This window comes from Homo sapiens, chromosome 6 (assembly GCF_000001405.40).
Source record: "Homo sapiens chromosome 6, GRCh38.p14 Primary Assembly".
NCBI lineage: Eukaryota > Metazoa > Chordata > Mammalia > Primates > Hominidae > Homo > Homo sapiens.
Genome location: NC_000006.12, coordinates 4,662,787 through 4,679,660, shown reverse-complemented (window position 1 = coordinate 4,679,660; position 16,874 = coordinate 4,662,787). Strand labels below are relative to the sequence as shown.

The following is a 16,874-nucleotide window of genomic DNA, read 5'->3' as shown; positions in this document are numbered from 1 at the left end:
CTCCAGGCAGGAAAAGGACAATTGGTTTCCAGCTCTGGGAGATAGGCCTGGCTTCCTCTCGTCTCTGGGGGCTGCTGGGTACTTGAGAGGGGAGATTATAGGGTTCTCAACCTTGGCACTATCGACCTTTGAGGCCAGACCCTTTTTGCGGCGGGACTGTCCTGTGCATTGCAGCATGCTCATTAGCATCGCTGGCCGCCACCTGCTAGATACCAGGAACAACCCCTGCCCAGCTGTGGCAACCAAAAATGTCTCCAGCCATTGCCAAATATCTTTTGGGGAGCAAAATCACTCCTAATTGAGGGGCACTGTATTCACAGGAGAGGTCCACCTCCAGGCCTGCCAAGGTCTGAAACCAGCATGAAGCAGCAGGCCCCCTTTCCCCAGTAAACCCAAGAACCACCCCCCTCAGTTTCAGGCCCCACGTAGGGGAAGCAGAGGCCTGTTTTCACATCAGCTCCCTCCCAGACTTGCAGAAACAACATCTGCCTGAGTGGGCCATGTGTTACCCTCGACCAGGGTGGGGCCTCCTGGGGCCACACCTGGGAGCCCCACACATTCCCTGCTGCTGCACATGCCTCCATGCTGTGTCTGTCACCTGCTGGTGATGAAGCTTTGGCTCTGTCTGCTAAGGTGAAGAGTAGACAGTGCCTTGAGATAGGTGAGCCCAGCTGGACTCTCCAGGCCTAACTCACAGCATGTTTTGGCACTGAAGAGTACCTGGTTGTATTAATCCAGTTTCACACTACTATAAAGATACTACCTGAGACTGGGTAATTTATAAAGGAAAGAAGCTTAATTTATTCACGGTTCCACATGGCTTGGGAGGCCCCAGGAAAGTTACAATTATGGCAGAAGGCAAAGGAGAAGCAAGCACCTTCTTCACAGGGTGGCAGGAGAGAGAGAGAGCAAGAGAGGAAGTGCCAAACACTTTTAAACCATCAGATCTCGTGAGAACTCACTCACTATCACGAGAACAGCATGAGAGAAACCGCCCCCATGATACTATCACCTCCCTCCAGGTCCCTCCCTCAACAAGCAGGGATCACAATTCGGATTACAATCCAAGATGAGATTAGTTCCACACAGAGCCCAAACCATATCACTGGTGTCAGAGCCTTGAGGCCTTGGAGGGAAGGACTGGCCATGTGAAGGCTTGCACTGTGCGTTTTGGGGACAGGACCCCATTATTGGCTTCCAGAATTAGGCCAAAAGATGCCCCAATTACAAATACATATTTGATTAATCTACCAACTCATTAGCAATTTGTATGGGCCCTAGGAGATATATTAGAAATTGGGCTAGCCTGGGCAACATGTGAGACCCTGTCTCTACAAAAAATTAAAAAAAAATTAGCTGGGCATGGTGGCATGTGCCCAGTTTCTTGGGAGGCTGAGGTGAGAGGATCACTTGAGCCTAAGAGGTTAAGGCTGCAGCAGTGAGGCAGTAAAGCTATGATTGCGCCATGGCACTCCAGCCTGGGTGACAGAGCGAGACCCCACCTCTTTTTAAGAAAAACAAACAACAAAAAAATTGGGGTTGTATTTTTAAAGCCAGAAAGAATAAAATACGAACATTAGCTTCCTTGGCTGTGATTGAACTCTTTCTAAGGTAAAATGTAGATGCTGGGAAACGCCAGTGAACTAGTGATTCTTGTTGGTCGGGTTTGGTTGATAGCAGATTTACTTTGTTTTTCTCTGGCAAGAATGAGGATTCCAAACAACTTGTTTCCTTGGGTTCTAGATGGAAGTGCCTGGAGCCTGCAGACAGGGTCTCTCCACCCCAGCTGCTGGTCCAACCTGCCTCGCAGGGCGTGACATGGCTGTTGTCCTCACTGCCTTGTACTCTGCCTCACCAGTCCCAGTGAGTACAGTGAACCAGTGCCTCCTCCATTCCTGTCTTCCCCCTTCCCACGTGCCCACTCAGTTGAGGTCATTTTCTGCACAAACGTTGTGCTGTGTGTATTTTCTTATGACATGCATGGGAGGTAACCTACGGGCTACCTGGACTAGCCTGCCGGACCAGGCTGTGAAGGCTGAATTAAGCTTCATAGAGCCGATTGTGTGGAGTCAAGGATTTGGGTTGTCATTACCCCATGAAGCCAGGAAGCAAGATCAGAGGAACTGGCTCATGTTGGGGGTGTTGGGTAATGTGGTGGTTCTAAAGCATTTCCACAGACTCTTTGGCACTTCTCCCTTAACAGGTGAATTCTAATCTCATCCCTTTGAATATGGGCCAGTGCTAGTGCCTCCCTTTGCATAACAGCGTGTGGCAGAGTGATGGTGCATGACTTCTGAAAGCTAGGCCACACAAGGCGACATGGTTTCCACCTGGCTGTCTGTGTCCCGCTTACTTCCCATGTGTCTCTGCATGTCTGTCTATCTCCCCCTTTCTCTGGCTTCCAGCTGCCATGGACAGGCCCGTATGGGTGTTCCAGGTAAGGCCCTGGATAAGGCCCTGCTGGGGCCAGCGCCCCCACCTTCCAGGTGAGTGAGCCTGTTTGCAGGTATTTTCAGCCCCAGTCTTCCACCTGCTCCAGCGGATATCCAGTGGGGTTGGGATGAGCTGTTCTTGCTGAGATCTGTCCAGATTTCAGATTTGGGAGCAATATAAATGCCATTGTTGTTTTTTATTTTTGAATATTTTTAGAGACAGGGCCTTGCTCTGCCCCCCTGGCTGGAGTGCAGTGGTATGATTATAGTTCACTGTAGCCTCTAACTCCTAGGCTTAAGTGATCCTCTCGCCTCAGTCTCCTGAGTAGCTGGGACTATAGCCATGCGTCACCATGCCCACATAATTTTTAAATTTCTTGTAGAGGTGAGGTCTTGCTATGTTGCCCAGGCTGGTCTCAAACTCTCAACCTCAAGGGTCCTCCTGCCTCAGTCTCCCAAAATGCTGGGACTAAGTTGTGAGCCACTGCGCCACACCACCATTGTTGTTTTAAGGCACTTAGTTTTGGGATAGTTTGCTATGTAGCAACAGATAACTGGAATAGATAACAGTAACATCAGAAAAGATGAACAGCTACCATGAATTGAGCCTTTACTGTGTACTCAGACCCTGCACTAAGCATTTTATACAGATCATCTCATTTTACCCTTGTGGCAACTCTGTAACATAAGGTATGTCTTTCACCCCGTCTTTGAAACAAGGCCCAGAGAGACTGAGTAACCTCAGGGTGGCTGATGAGTAGCTGGAGTCAAGATTCAAACCCAGAACCTGTGTTCTACGTAATACAGAGTGACCAGCTGTGAGTGTTGGTGGAGGGGTTTTCCTGGGGCTGCCGACTGAGAGGCTGCAAAGGTGTCCCCACGTAACTGCTTCAAGCTGCCTGGTGGTACCCACTGCCTTTTAGGTGACAGCAGCTCAGCCTCACTTGCCGCCTCCTGCCCTGCCCAGATGCTCTGGCTCTCTCCGAGCAGCTCCCTCAACCTTCGGTCGGCACAGCAGCGCTTCTCAAAGTGAGGCCCTGTGCCACCTCCATCAGAATCCCCTGGGAAGCTGGCTAAAAATGCAGATTCCATGATCCCTCCCCAGACTTACTGAAAGAGCATCTCCGGAGATGGGACCATGGAAGCAGCATTTGTTACAAGTGCCGGTGGGATTCTCATGCCTGAGGAATCTTTAGACCCATGGTTTGGGACAAATGCGAACTCCAAGGAGATGCAGAGGGGAAGCAGAGGAGCCTCAGGCTCCTCCTCCAACCCCCCCCCCCCCCCACCTCCCCCTCCGCATCCGTCACTTTCAGAGAGGTGACTACAGAGGCTGAAAACTAGCCAACTCCCTATGTGTCAATGAATGACAGATTTTGCTCCTCTTTTTATAATGGGCAGAAACAACACAATTTGTGAGAGCTCTTTTCCGAGCTTTTTCTGAAGTGCTGGTGGATATGCAGAGTCATTCCCATGAAACTTCATAAGTGCTTCCAATGTACTGGAATTTTTTGTTCTTGATTCTGACATCTTTATCAGCCCTGCCTAACATTACATGGCCTTCAAGACAAGGGAAAAATAACCTTAACACTACCTTATCCCACCGAATTTGTGCAGAACAATTGCCACAGCTGAGAATCAAGTGACAGTGCTCCCTAAGTACAGTATTTTACAATGAAAAGCCTTTGATAGCCACGGACACTCCTAATGGTTTCCCAGAGGGAGACACGGAGGGGGACAACACTGCCAGATGCGATTCCTTTGGTCCTGATGGCATGGGAGGAAACCATATGCATAACTTCTACTCTGCAACACTCTTTTATCATGGTGTGTCCATAGCATCTTTCTCTTTGTAATTCAAGCCATTAGTACAGAGGGATTCAGCATCTGTGGCCGTGGGGACACTGTTGGCAGCTTGCCAGAGATGCAAAGAAGCCACACACAGAGCCCCTCAGTTACTGTACTGCCGGTGCTGCAGATGGGAAAGGGGTGTGAAGGTGGGAAGATGGCCCCTGTCCGGAAGCTGTTTGCAGTCTACTGGGAGGGATAATGGGTGTTCACACAAACACGGACAATGCAAGGGTACTATGGGAAAAAGCCATCCATCTGCGGTAAACAAAGGGCCCTAGGATCTCAGAGGAATGACATGAGAGTTGACGGGTCCTCAGGGAAGGCTCGATGGAGCGCAGGTCTTGGGTAGCCTTTGAAGGGTAGGCAGACTTTGGTCCTCTGGGTGGACTGGAGGGAGGTGACCCATGGCCTGCAAAGGATGGTTCTCATGCTCAGTGCTGACTCTGCACTCACTCCATCCTGAGAATGATGCCTCCTGGAATTCTGCACCCTGGGGCCTCTTTCAGTTGACTCTTGTTTGAGCCCTGCGGGAGCCACAGGTTTATGGGGAAGAGACACATTGGAATTTGCATCTTCCTTCCTGGGAGAATTGTTGTGATGCCCTTGGTTGTGGGGTGGGGAGGATGGAAGCCAGCCTCACACGTACCCCACAGGAGGAGGCTGGCTTGGGATCACTTTGTGGGGTCCTTGCAGCTGTTGGATTGACTAGAGGCCACATGGCAGATTCTTCTGACAAGGGTCATAGATTCCAAAGTGACCACAATTGGTGGCCAAAATTGAACCATCTTTTGATTTTTTTCCCTTTGGAGATGGGGACCATGCTGGGCATTTCTCTTCTTTGGGAAGTTTTTGTCTTCTGCTATTGACACTGTGCAAAGGCCAGATATGGAGTAGATAGGTATGCCCTCTTTTTGAGAATATCACTGTAACCAAGAAATGTTCCAAGAGTGTGTGGAAGCTAGACCCTGGGCTTCAGAGAACAAAGGAGCACTTATTTAGTTCCACAACAGACACCCCCCCCCCCCCCCCGCCCACTGTCTTGGCATCTTCCCTGCATCTTTATAGTGAAGGCATGACCTATGTGGTGGGGACTGAGCCTCAGCACATCCCATCACAACAGCCCAATCATTAGCACCTTTCAGAAGTGATGGAGCAGGTGCAAGAGGAAATCCTCCACAGTGGAGACTTGGTCACTTGGGGTGACCACTGCAAGAGTGAGCCCTGAAGACCTTGGCATCTGGCCTCTGGGAAGCATCACTGATTGGGCACTAAGTCCTTTGCCGAGTTTACCCTGGGACCATGCCTCCCCGGGCTATTCCCTGCCAATGACCTGTCTAGGAGAGCTGGGATTCCTTTGTCAGCTACCTTGGGCTCAAAGACTCCCCAGTGGTTTTGCCAAAGCTCCCTTTGACAGCACGGTAGTTTAGGGCATTTCCACCTAACCTCCTTCTGTCCTTCCCTCCAGGTCAGACTTGCACTGTGGTCTGATGACCCCCTAGCCTTCCTTGGTTCCCTTCTTATTTCCCTTAATGCAGGCATTTCCTTTCTGAAAATCCTTGCGTGTTTAATTCCATCCTGGAGATGGAGGAGCTGAACTAGCATAAATTGCTGTTTCATCTTGCAAAATAGAAAAGGGTTTGAGAGGGTCCAGTCAGGCAGCACTGGTGATGGAATACCTCAAGCAACAATTTGAACATGACCAAAGGGTACACATGGGTAGCCCCAGGCCTCCTGCCAGCCCTATTCAGGAGGGCCCTTATTTTGGCTGCTGGGATATTTCTAATGCCCTGGGGACAGTTGATCAGGGCTTGGAGAACATGGAGAAGCTGACGGTTGTCTAGGGCTAGTGTGAAGGGCCAGATGCCTGTTCCTATAGTGCATTGTTGGGACAGACAGTGTAGTGCATTGTTGAACCTATAGGCACTGGCCCCAGTGGGCAAGAGGTCACTCCACCTTGCTGGCCAGCAGAGACACGGGGTTTACCTACTGGGATTTCTGACCTCATAAGCCTGCTGTGAAGAGGCACAGGGAAGCCTATGGGAAGAGGTGAAGGGATGGCTGAGTCATAAACCATTCTTTTCTCCATTCTTCTTTCTTCTTGTTTCTTTCTCTTTCCTTCTTCCTCAGCTCAGTTTTTTCTCTCTTTTCTTTCTTGCTTTTCCATCATGCAAATCTCAAAGTAAGGCAAGACAGAAAACCTGCTCCCATATTTTCCTTATTAAAATCACACGAGTGGGCTGGTGGTCAAAGGTTGACCTTCTGAGCTCCTCTCCCTGAGGTTTCTAGGGGACATTTCTGTGCTGCAGCGGGTTAAGGGAGGACTAGCTTCCGTTGGCATTGGGTAGATGGGGGAATTTCCACTGTGAGAGCTAAAATATGCTGATATCTAGTTTACACCATGTGGACTGGAAAGTCATGTGAATTGCAAGAGGCAAATAGTTCTGATGCTTTTGTGTTGCCTTGGGTGAATACCAAGTGGTTTCTGCATTAAAAAAAAATGCCTGGGAGAATTGGGCCAATTACTTGCTATAGACAGAGGGAAAAGTCCTTTTTGCTAATTTGAGACTATTAAAGTACAATCTGGGCACTGAGTTTCAAATTCACTGCCAAAAAATATAGGTCTTATACCCTCATCCTATTTTCCTATCACCTAACTTTGTCTTGGCCATCAAAGAGCGTGATCGCTTCGGCTCCAGAGCTCCCAAGATTGATGCTGTGCCCTGCACACTGGTACATTTTAATATAACAACTCTAAGCTGGAGCACAGGTACAGATGCAAGAAGGGTGGGCAGAGAGAATGTTTTATGTTCTTTGGCACAAGTTGAAGTTACCAAATCTCTGCAGGAAGAGATTGGGGTGCGAGGAAATACTTGAAGAAGAAGTAAAACAAAACAAAACAAAAACCCAGGGAATTTAATGTGGAGTTCTACTAATATTCAATACTTCTCATTTTTCTCCACTTTTTCATCAGTCAGACACTTTTTAAATCAATTGGAGGATTCTTTTCCTTTTCTCACTCTGCTTTTTTTTTTGTTTGTTTGTTTTATTCCACCCTCAGAAATCGTTGCCTCCTGCAATGGTAACTTCTTTTAGTAACTCTCCCATCCTTAACAGGGTCACTCATTCTTAAGCTTTGCCATTAGTCATTGACTTAGAAATAAATTTTGGGAGAAGAGGTGGGGAAAGCCAGATTGCTCAGCTGGTCATATATCTGTGCTGTTTTTCGTCCCTGGCAAGGGGGTGAGGAGTTCCCAGCTGATTTAGAGTGTGATGGTGTCATCGTCAAGGTATATTTTCATTGTGAGAGAAACATGAGAAGCAGAGCAAAGCAGACTTGCTGCGGCCTGGGCATGGTTGTCTGCATGGCCCCCTCAGGAAGGCGTCCGTCGTCCAGGCTGGACATCAACATGCTCCCAGGGCTGAGCGCAGAGTCCCCTCAACAAGGGAACAAACCCACCTTCGGCGGAAAGCCTGGAAGCTCCTCGGGATTGTGTGGCACCTTTCTGGGGTGTTGAGTCTGGAGCCACTTGCCTGGGTTGGCATGCAGGCTCACCACATCCCAGCTGTGTGACAACGGGCAAATGATTTAACCTCTCAGAGCCTCAGTTTCCACATCTGTAAAATGGGAATCATAGTATCAGAGAACTATAGCAAGGATTTAGTGGGTGAATACATTTAACACTGCCTCACACTATATGTCAACTATTATTATGATCGTTATTATTTCTAAAGGAAGAAGTGTGGCCTTCTAGGCCGGGGAGCCTTAGTGGAGTTAGACATCGGAATGGGCCAAATTGGAGAGCCAGAATCACCTGTACAAGCTCTTCTGGAGAAAATAACTTGCAAATCCAGTCTTTAATGACTCACTTTTTTTTTTTTCAGGGTCTTGCTTTGTCGCCCAGGCTGGAGTGTGGTGGCATGATCTCGGCTCACTGCAACCTCCACCTCCCGGGTTCAAATGATTCTCATGCCTCAGCCTCCTGAGTAGCTAGGATTATAGGCATGTGCCACCACACCTAGGTATTTTTTTTTTTTTTTGTATTTTTAGTAGAGACAGTGTTTCACCATGTTGGCCAGGCTGGTCTCAAACTCCTGGCCTCAAGTGATCCAGCTGCCTTGGCCTCCCAAAATGCTGAGATTACAGGTGTGAGCCACCACACCTGGCCCAATGACTCATTTTATGAGTGTCATCTATAGGCAGGAGACACTTCATAAACATGCTCGAATTCTCATAACAACACCAGGTGGAGGACATGATCATCCCCATATCACAGATCAAGAAACTGGGGCTCAGGCTGCCAAGAACCTTGCCCCCAGGCAGTGGAGGAGTGAGAATTGGACTGAAAATTGGCACACCACCTCTTGCCACAGTTCCTAAGTCAGGACTAGCCAGTGCAGTCACTTGGAGGTGCTTAGAGTGACTCAACTCTGGACATACACAATTTTGCACAGGCAAAAGTAATCGAAGGTTACACAATGTCTTTGCTTGGAAAGAGCCTTAAATGTGTTATACACAGTACATCTAAGAATTAATTCACCAGCAAATGAAGTGTGCCTTCTGGAACCCAAGGCAGCCCTTAATAGCCCATAACCAAACCATGCATGAGGCTGGGGTGGTTTAATAATGGGTGGATTAGGGTGGTGAAGATGCAGTATTCTGAGAAATTGAAATTGACATCCCACTTGTGCGCTGGAAATGAATAGACTTGCCACGGGATCTAGAAGGAGAGTCTCTGGGAGTGTAGCATCTCTTCTCTGGTTTCTGGGCAGCTGCTTGGCTGTCACGGCCACTCTTGTGGTTCTCTCTCTATCACCTCCCTCCTCTCTTCCTAGGTCTCTCCTCCCACCTCAATGACCATGTGATTCCTCAGGCTAGATTTCCCTACATGCAGTGTGAGGGCGTCTGTGTGCGGGTGTGTACATGTGTGGATGTGTGTGTGTGTGTAAGAGGAGAGGCTCTGATAGTCCTCCCGACAGGGCTGGAAGCAGGACGCGAGTGTCCATAAAAAGCACACAGACGCCAGATGGCACATGTCCTTTGCATTTGATCAAAATGCCACATGCCGTGTCTTCTTGCCCTATTTCATATTCTTATAGTGAAATTGAGCCATTTGAATGTAAATTTAGGGAGGAAACAATCCTATGTTTGGTGCATTTATCTAATACAGAGATGGGCACAAAGCTGCATTTCTGATGAGTGGGTTCCCTGACTCTCTCTGCAGCTTTCTCCCCTTCTCATTCTAGGCAAGATTTTCATAAAGCCTGGGGCCATAGCTGCATCTGGACTTTGCAATAGCATAGGCCCCAAAGTGTCCTCTTTCTATCATGGAGTTCGGAGTTAGATTTCTCTCATGTACAACCAGAGGAGACCTGTCCAGTACAATATGAAACAGTGGGGAGACACTAATATTGTAAAATTTCATGGGCAACCTTTGCATAGCACATCATAGTTTGTAAATAATGACACTGAACATTTCTAAGGTGCTTACTACGTGCCAGGCACTGTTATGAATCCATTACACAGAACAACCAAAGATGGGTTCTGTGATTATCCCCATTTTACAGAAAGAAAACTGACAGCCAGTGGGCCGGGCGCGGTGGCTCATGCCTGCAATCCCAGCACTCTGGGAGGCCGAGGCGGCGGATCAGGAGGTCAGGAGATCGAGACCATCCTGGCTAACACAGTGAAACCCCGTCTCTACTAAAAATACCAAAAAAATTAGCCAGGCCTGGTGGCGGCCGCCTGTAGTCCCAGCTACTGGGGAGGCTGAGGTGGGAGAATGGCGTGAACCTGGGAGGCGGAGCTTGCAGTGAGCCGAGATCGCACCACTGCACTCCAGCCTGGACGACAGAGCAAGATTCTGTCTCGAAAAGAAAAAAGAAAAAAGAAAACTGACAGCCAATGAAGTTAAGGAAATTGACTAAGTTTCTACAGCTAACAAGAGACAAGAGTCAAAATTAGAATCTAAATGAACTGGCTCTGATCCCTGACTACTCAGCTATGCTGCCTCTTCCACTCAGAGTGAGGACAGTTATCGTGTCCTTTGCAAAATGCTGGAGACTTCACGAAGTAATGAGATTCACCCAAGATCATGCAGCCAGAGAGTGATGGAACCAAGACCCAAGGCAGACCTTTGGATTCCAAAGTCCTGCCTTTTATGTCACACTCCATTGGCTCACTTGGAAAGGGTAATATGCCACCTGTAGTTGTGGAGGGAGACAGCTGTGGAGATGTCCACCAGGCAGGTAGAACGTTGGACTTGGATCTTAGGTGCTTGGTGATGCAGTAGAGAGAAGCTTCTGGGAGTGATTTGTGAGCAAGAGAGAGCAAGTTAGGCCAGAAAGCAGGCAGCTGGGAAGCTGTGACAATGTCTAGGGACAGAGCTTGATGGGGAGCAAGTGACTCAGCACACATGAGATCGGAGGAGAAAGGAAGATTATGGGCAGGAAGGCTCCTGAAGGGTTCTGGAGTGGCAGGCACAGGCAGTCAGAGGGCAGCCACTGGACATGGGGCATCTTGGTCAAAGGGTGACAAAGAAGGTTTCAGAAAGCAAGAGTGGCAGAGAACTGAAAATATAAGGTAGCAAGAAAATGCAGTCATCTGGGTCTTTTTCATGTGAGCTAACCCAAGTCGCCTGACATCCCAGGACTCAGTCTGCCGCTCTGTGAAATGGAGAAGTTGTGTAAGGCCTCTCTCCCCTTTGCATTAGACCTCACTTCCCACGCCTGTCCACAGGGCCTGCTCCGATGCAGCTCTTCATTGTCCCCTGTGGTTTTGTTTTGAGCCTGACTCATGTGCCCTCTCCATTGCTTATTAATGCTTTCCTTAAAAAGAAAAAGAAAGATCAACAATGGTGTTGCCCCTCTGTGAAATTAACAGCCCAGGGAAGAGTCTCGCCTGCCCGAGGGCAACCTTGCGTGGCCAGCGTTGGTGGTCTCTGCTCTCATCTGGCTACCTCATCACTGGGACAAGTATAAAGATTTAATTTCCAGGCCTTCAACATCCAGAAACTTCTGTGCTGGTAGCTACTAGTGACCCTCTAGGGAAATCTTACCAAACTGATTACAAGCTTTACAAACTTTATTTTAAATTGGAAACATATATTTCCCTACGTACAGATGAGTGGCTTTGCATCTGAATGGCTAACAGCCGCCTACTTGATATTCTGGTCTAATGGGTGACTCTGAATTGCATCCTATTCGTGCTTCTCAAAATGTTTTGTGTTTACTGAATACCCATGACTTTTGAATGAGTCCTGGTGAGTTCCTGACAGTGTTTATTTTTAAACTTTATTTCCCCCTTTTTGGGGGCTAGGTTAATCTCAGTTCTAAATTACAAAGATTCTGCCAAGGAAGAGAGGAAGGCTAAATATTTCTTGTACGTATATCCTGCTTCTCAGCGTGTTTGAAAGTGTAAGTGGGGTGCCCTGGTCCACTTGTGGAGTGATTTGCTGGAAGGGGAAATTGCAGCTTTTCTGATGAGGGGAGACAGAGCCTTACTTTTCCAGGTCTGTGGGAAGAGAGAAGAAGGCTAGGGGTGGAGAGATTGGGAGTGCTGACAAGGCCTGTCAGCTGAAAGTTCACTTTCTCACTAACTAGTATCAGTTAGTTAGGGCTGCCAAAACAAATACCACAGACTGGGGGGCTTAATTTATTTCTTCATAATTCTGGAGACTAGAAGTTCAAGATCAAGGTGTAGGCAGGGTTGGTTTCTTCTGAGACCTCTCTCCTTGGCTTAGATGGCATCTTTCCCCTGTGTTCTCACGTGGTCTTCCCTCTGTGTGTGTCTGTCTCTTCCCCTACCTATAAGGAGACCAGTCAGATTGGATCAGAGTCCATTCTAATGACCTTGTTTCAATTTATATAAAGGCTCTCTCTCCAAATATGATTATACTCTGAGGTACTGGGTGTGAGGACTTCAACATATGAATTTTTGGTGTTACATAGTCCAGCCCATAACAACCTTCTACCCATTAGAAATTCAGTGGGGTTAAGGCACTCTTGGAGGGCACCTGTCATTCATGCCAGGGCAGTGGCCCTCATCCTTTTTGGCACCAGGGATCAGTTTTGTGGAAGACAGTTTTTCCAAGGACTGGTGGGAGGGATGATGGGGGAGATGGTTTCGGGATGAAACTGTTCCACGCCAGATCATCAGGCATTAGTTAGATTCACATAAGAAGGACACAAACTAGATCCCTGGCATGCACAGTTCACAGTAGGGTTTGTGCTCCTCTGAAAATCTAATGCTGCTGCTGATCTGATAGGAGGTGGAGCTTAGGCGGGGGTAATGCTCACTCTCCCACCACTCACCTCCTAGTGTGCAGCCCAGCTTCTAACAGGAGGTGGACAGGTAGAGGTCTATGGCCCAGGGGTTGGGGACCCTTGTGCTAGGGTGTGAATTGCTCAGTTTCTTCTTCTCCCAAGCACCTGGCTGAGATCAGCCACAGTGACTTTAGTATTTTTGGAGAGTAGACTTTGGAGAAGGATATTTCCAGGAAAGGCGCCATAACTGGGAATTTGGGAGAGCACGGGAGAAGTGGTCCAGGTTTGACTGAGCTGAGAAGCTGGTATTAGAGTAAGAGTAAGTGGAGGTTAGGGCAGAAAGAAGGAAGAGACGACACCATGCCTAGAATTAGGCTCTCAGAACCTTAGGCTGTTACAACCAGAAGGGATCACTGGAGATCATTCTCCCTGCAGTGTTCCTGGGCTGGAAGTCTTCTCTTCACGGGGCACAGAGAAGACTCATTTCTACAATCTCCATTCACTACATACCACCTGGCAACTGGCAGCTGTCCACAATATTGAATATGGAGAGGACAGGTCAGGAAGGCACATGTGTGGAGGGAAGTATGTTTAAACGGTGGCTAATATAGCAGATATCTCCTATTTGTTATCTGTTCATCAATCTCTCTTCCTTTTTTCTGGCAGCATACCCTATTTCTTTGACACCAGAAGTGGGTATGTGACCCAGGATGGGTAAATAATTTCACTGATGTGACCATGGTCACTGTTCTGAGGGGTACACTCAAAGTGAGCCAAGCTGAGCTAACTTGTGTTTTCCTGCGGTTTTGAAATTGGAGCTGGGAGGAAAGCTCTTCCTCTCTGGTTGGAGAGCTGCTAAAGATGTGAATCAGAGCTGCTCCCATGAACCCACCCCAGTGAGAAAGTGGATTGGCTGGGTGAAGTCCACACAGAAAGAGAAACTGAGGCCAGAGCACAGTGGGTGAACCCCGATGGGGTCTGAGTCCCCAGCTTGGTGGTCTGCGTGGCTGTCTCCTCTTCTGCCTGTCCTTCTCTTGGTTTGCTCCCATGAACTTAGCTTGGATTTCTGCCACTTGGATTTCTGCAACCAGAAGAGTCCTGACTAATTCAGGTAGAGCTTGGGTTGCATTAAATCTTGTGAAGAATATAAGGAGAACGAAAAGGGTTGGAAAGCTATGTCATGAGCAGGAAGAATGAGAAAAGGAATCGGTCCATGACCCAGAGAAAATGGCACAGTGCCATCTGATGATTAAGAAATATCAAAACACCTTAAATTATCTTTGGTCATTACTTCCTGAACAAGAATCTTCTTCAGATTTGAGAGGAGCAAATAAACTTGGCTAAAAGGGAAATTGAAATCCAAGATAAACGAGAAAACAGTAAGAAAAGACCACCAACATTTGAACAAGCTTATTTGAGCCGTGCTGAGTCATCCCAGTGGAGTGTGGACACCTTTCCATGTAATTTGGAGACAAGTTCTACTTTTGGAGGAATTGTGACAAGGGGGTGACATGCTGTAAAAGTGGAATGAGTGTTGGAGCAATTGTGGAAAGGTGTGGGGGATCCAGGGTGGAGGTCTTAGACCCTCCAGGGAAATATCACACCTTGATGTTAGCAAGGTGTTCCACAGAGCCCTTCATGACCAGCTTGTGGCTGAACCTCCCGTCTCAGACAACTAGAAATGGAGAAACAGCAGCATTGCTCAGTGGGTGGGGAGTAATGAGAGGGGGTGACAAGGGAATGAATTTTGTTTTGGCCAGGCTGCTTTCGAGGTGCCTGCAGACCATCTGTGTGTGGCTGTTCAGATGGCAAATCAAACATTTTGATCTAGAGCTCAGAAGAGAAGTTGGGGCTGGTGAGGCAGTTCTGGAGATGGTGAGTAGAAAGGGGGAAGGCGAGTAGAAAGGGAGAAGGCAGATGGCAAATGAAGCCCCCTGGGGATTCCACACATAGAGAAAAGAGAAGAGCAGGTGCAAAGCCAGAACCTTGGGACAGCTTACATTTGAGGTGGAAGAGAGGAGTGTGTGTGGTGTGGCGGGGTCGGGGGGTGGTGTGGAAGAGAAAGAGGGAGAGAGAACGGAGGTTCAGAGACAAGAAGGACTGGGGGTGGCGAAAGGGAAGACAGCCTCCAAAAAAGGAGGCAGTGGTCAAATGCTACAGGATGGCACCGCTAATAAGAAAGATGATCCTTGGTTCTGGATGAGGAGGTCACTGGTGAGCTATGAGAAATCTGTTTCAATTAACAGTGATATAAAAGTTGAATAGAAAGAGGGAGTGGATGATGAAAAATATCTCCTCCTTTCCTTCCTCTCCCAGTCACTGTCTTTCCTCACTTCTCATCTCTTATCTGCCCTTCAGTAGTCTTTCAACAGGGTCCTGCTGTGGCTTTCTTCCTGCGTCCACACCAGCTTCCACGCTGCCCCCAGGCTTCCCTTCCCAAAGCACGGCCTAAGGAAGAACATGCGACCCCAACCCTGGTATTTTAGTTGGAGAAATGCTGACTTCAGAGTTCATGCAAGTGAATCCTGACATCTCAGCAGCCTAGCATCCTGTAACTTCCTCACTCAGGAAAAGTCCCTTGGGAAGTGGGGCTGGGTGGGAGGCGGTGGTGTGCTCCCCGGCACACAATCAACCAAGGATGACGTTGGTGGAGGTTCTGTTGTCTCCATGGTGTGCTCCAAGCTTGCCATGGGTGTTGCCATCCAAACTAGCAGAGAGAGAGTGTGTCCAGGCAGAAACCCCTGGATGGAGGCCCAGTCACGGCCTGAGGAGGTGGGATTCAGGCCAGTCCTGGAAGTGGTGTACATTACATCACTTCTACTACCTTCTGTTGGCCAGCATTGAGTCACATGGTCAGACTTAACTGTGGGAGAAGCTGGGGGAATGCAGTCCAGCTGAGTCACGCGAGGAAAGGAGAAACGTAGCCAGGCTCTGGTAGTCATGACCTTCTAGGCCTTGCAAACTTGAACCCAGTCTGCTTTTGCAGTTCCATCTTCTTGGAGTTTGACCCAACTCCAAGGCACAAGAGAGCATAACTTAACTGCTCTTTAAACATACCACGTACATTCACTTTCCCCCTCCATCAAGAATATCCCTTTTTTTGAGACAGGGTGTCACTCTGTCGCCCAGGCAGGAATGCAGTGGTGCAATCTCAGCTCACTGTAGCCTCTAACTCCTGGGCTCAAGCAATCCTCCCACCTTAGCCTCCCAAATAGTTGGGGCTATAGGCATGAGCCACTGCACCTGGCCTAAGAGTATTCCTCCTCCCAATACCTACTGACTTGTTGAAATTTCACTCATGCTCTAAGCTAACCAGAGGCATGCCACTGGTTTTACAGAGCCTTCCTCTGAGTTGCAATGATTTCCTTCCTTTAGTAATTTGTTAGCTCCAGACCCTGTCACTCCTTGCCTCCTGCTGGTATCGTAGTTACACATGTTCCCGTGGCCTTCTGTAGGCACTGACTGCATACTCATTCAGGGCATGGTTAAGTTATAGTTATCTTGCTCACTCTATAATTATGCTAACTATAGGGCCTACCGTCTCAAATCAGAGCGTGTGGTCTGAGATGTCTTCCTGTACATGCACCAGGATCAAGTGGGTAAAATACTGGATACCGGCAGTCTTCAGGAATATCCCGGAACAGGATCCTGAAGATGCAATGGAAACCCAATGTATATTGTTGTTCTGGAATGGAATTGAATTACTGTTATCACTGAGTAACATACAAAGCAAGAGAAACTTGCAGGGACTTTTCAGATCATGCCTAAGCTGGCTTGGGACATTTCCCAGGGCACTGGTTTACCCGGCTGATTCCTAATACCCCTAGACTGACTTAGCCATACTGAAATGCCCAGACATTTCATTGAAAATGTACAGAAATCAAATACAGCAGAAACGTGATGTTTCATGCTCGGTGTTTTGTGCTTGTGCGTGACCATTTGAATTGGCACTCCTGGGTCCTGAGATGACTTGAAGACGAATGGTTTTATCTCGGGTCTATTATGGTTCGTTCAGCAACTGGAAGCTTGTTTACAGCTCTGTGGCCGAGGGCCTGGGAACTGTCTGTGAATTATTTTGTCAACAAGTCAACCAGGGATGGCTGGCTTTGAGTCTGCTTTTTGCTTATATTTGACCCTCAATTATGAGATGTTCATACAAGGAAGGCATTATTTTAATAATAAAAATGTTTGCAGGCATCTGTTCCATTCATGGCTGAGATTTTATTGGCATTCATTGGAGTTGAAGTGAGAAGGAGCAAGTGAATTGGTTGAGCTGGGGCTTGGCCTCTGAGGGGAAGGGTCTGGGTTGCAGTGTCCTGGGTGGGCTCC

The 16,874-nt window shown here is 48.1% G+C and overlaps 1 annotated feature.

Annotated features, from left to right (window-relative positions):
* Nucleotides 15,292–15,586: an enhancer, noted in NCBI's record as "tiled region #4929; HepG2 Activating non-DNase unmatched - State 21:Repr, and K562 Activating DNase matched - State 8:EnhW". NCBI's record gives its function as "activates a minimal TATA promoter and a strong SV40 promoter by Sharpr-MPRA in HepG2 and K562 cells {active_cell/tissue: HepG2 | K562}" and the evidence as "EXISTENCE:reporter gene assay evidence [ECO:0000049][PMID:27701403]".